The 2,711-nt window shown below is 42.2% G+C and overlaps 1 annotated feature.

Moving 5' to 3' along the window:
- Positions 724–1,923: an enhancer, noted in NCBI's record as "MED14-independent group 3 enhancer chr3:101913549-101914748 (GRCh37/hg19 assembly coordinates)". NCBI's record gives its function as "activates an origin of replication core promoter dependent on BRD2, BRD4, P300/CBP and CDK7 cofactors, and independent of MED14, by STARR-seq in HCT116 cells {active_cell/tissue: HCT116}" and the evidence as "EXISTENCE:reporter gene assay evidence [ECO:0000049][PMID:35650434]".

Genomic DNA, 2,711 nt, shown 5'->3' with positions numbered 1-2,711 from the left:
CATCTGGTTAGAGCCACATGGCAGAGCTGTTTTCCCTTCTCTCACCAGCTGCTCTGAAGAGAAATGAGGTATAGGCTGTCTCTCCTCTCAGATCCCCCAAGCTATCTAGAGCTATTGTCAAAGCCTCCAGCTTGGCACAGGACCTTTTCCAGGAACCCCCCCAAGCTTCCTTGCCTTTTCTCATTTATTTCTTATTCTGATAGCCCAAGGAATCCTTCCTGGTGGGGGAGGCCATGGGTGAAAAGTTTTCCTCCCTAGTTTCCAAGCCGCTTCTGTCTTGGTCTCACTCCTGTTCTAAGCCCTCATGAAGAAACAAAAGCCCCAACAAAGCTTTTTCCCTCTCCTGAGGCAATACATATGGGCTAGTTATTTATATGGAGGCAAGTAAGAGACAAAGAGGAGAAAGTGCCATGGGGAAAAAAAAAAAACCATAGGATAGTCTTTCAAAAATATTATACCTCCCAGAATCCGAGACAAGGTAGCAGCAGGCTGGCCTAAGCATCACACAAGAGCAGAGGAAGGCTAACAGTAAAGAAACATTTTGAGTTGGAGATTACAATTCATACTAAATGGTTATATTTTCTTAAACATTTCCCTTTCATAGGATGAGCTTCTCTGTCAGGAAAAAGGTGAGATACTTTCTGGGAGTAAAATGAGGTCGAATTGAAGAAGGTTTACTAAGGACAATCAGCTCTAATAGCCCTTTGAACCATTAACACGTGGGTTTCTCACAACAGGTAAGGTTGGCATCACAATTCCCTTTTACACATGACAGAATGAAAGCCTGGGCATTCATCCAAAGTCACATGAACCAGTGGCAGTGCTGTGAAGGTTTGAGGTGAGTGGAAACGTTTATTCCCATCAACTCCTGGCTTCCTTCTTCTCCCATGACTGAGCTTTAAAACGTAACTTGTCTTCAAGTGTATAAAACTCTCCAATCAGTGATTTAAGAAAAAAATTTTCTGTGTCATTGACAGGAGTTGTTACCTGCTTGAGAAAATGAAACCAGGACGTGACTCAGCATGGAAAAGTGGGAAGTGATTTTGTGGGAACATTATCTCCTACAGTAACCAATTTTGCTGGGGCTTTGATTTGCTAATGAGCAATACTTCCACAGAAACATACATATTTTCATCATATAACTCCTAAGAGCAGTGCACCTGCCTCCTGGGACAGGCTGGCACAGGCACATTCTTATGCTGGAATCTGTGTCCCAGGGGTCAAGTGGGATGGGTGGAGTACATTTCTGAAGCAGCCTGAAGCAGGAAGAGCAAGAGCTGTGTAATTGTTCAGTCTTTGGAGAGCACCAAAAAGCAGACTCCGGAAGCAGAGTTCAGCCATCAAGTATAGAGCAGAGAGGACACCAGAGGCAAGATCTGAAAGTCCAAAGCAGGTAGAAGCAGCACAGAAGTGAAAATAATAGTCTAGGGGAAGCTTAGCCCTCCAGACTTTACAAGAAGTCAGCAAGTGATATTAGAAAAGAAATAATTATGCTTTAAATACCATCCCCCATGTAAATATTTCTTTTTTTAACTTCATTGTTTAATAACAATGGGTTATAACAGGCAAATGATTTTTTCTGAGATGGGGTCTCACTCTGTTGCCCAGGGTAGAGGGCAGTGTTGCTATCATGGCTCATCACAGTGGGGCTCAAGCAATCCTCCCACATCTGCCTCCAGAGTAGGTGGGACTATAGGGGCGAACCACCACATCTGGCTAATTTTCATTTTCATTTTTATTGTAGAAGTGGAGTTTCACCATGTTGCTCAGGCTGGTCTCAAACTCCTGGGCCCAAGCAATCCTCCCACTTTAACCTCCCAAAGTGCTGGAATTACAGGCATGGGCCACTGCACCCAGCCAGACATGTGATTTTTAATTTGACTTTTTTCTTCATATATTATGAATATTTTACCTTTCCTTTATTTTTCAATCTACAGCAGTTTGATTTTTGCTATGACTGCTCCCTTGTCTGCCCTAATAAAAGAAACAAGTGGTACAATCATTGCTAAATCTAAGGCCACCTCCAGTCTTGTCTTACTTTTATCTTCCTTGGCCACTTCTTCCATAATCAAACATCCGTCCTTTGACTTTCTCAACATGCCTTTATCCTGGTTTTCATCTATTTCTAGCTGTTCCTTCTGATCTCCTCGTTAGTCACTCTCTTCTGATAACCCTTGAATATAGAAGCCAGACCCCTCTCCCTTTCTATTTTATTTTACCCACCACCTCTGCATTTTGATGCATATATTCAAATATTTAGCCCTATCCGTTCCTGACTTCTGGACCCTTATGCAACCTGGATTTCCCACTGACTCGTTAAACTCAACATGCCCAAAGCAGAATTTCTTATCTCTTCTTCCTTCTCAAATATGAGGATCGTCTTTCTTTCAGCTTGGAGGCAGCAATCGTCACAGTGCCCTCTTGCCTCTTCACCGTAGTAACATCAATAACCACAGAGTTGACATTTATGGAACTCAAATGCTATGTTAAGACTTTACAGACATTTTTTAATTTTCTCAAGAAATCTATGAGGTAAGTACTATCATCACCCTTACTTTACAACAAGGAAATTAAAGCTTAGGAAGGTGAAGAAACTTGCTCAGGGACACCCAGCAAATAAGTGACAGATCTAAATGTCAGACATAAAAATGTGTCTCCATAGCCCAGAGATCACACTCCTAGCCCCACACACTCTCATAAAAAGACTCACT

Source organism: Homo sapiens, chromosome 3, assembly GCF_000001405.40.
Source record: "Homo sapiens chromosome 3, GRCh38.p14 Primary Assembly".
Classification (NCBI taxonomy): Eukaryota; Metazoa; Chordata; class Mammalia; order Primates; family Hominidae; genus Homo; species Homo sapiens.
The sequence above is the reverse complement of the archived record's forward strand: the minus strand, read 5'-3'. Positions and strand labels throughout refer to the sequence as shown.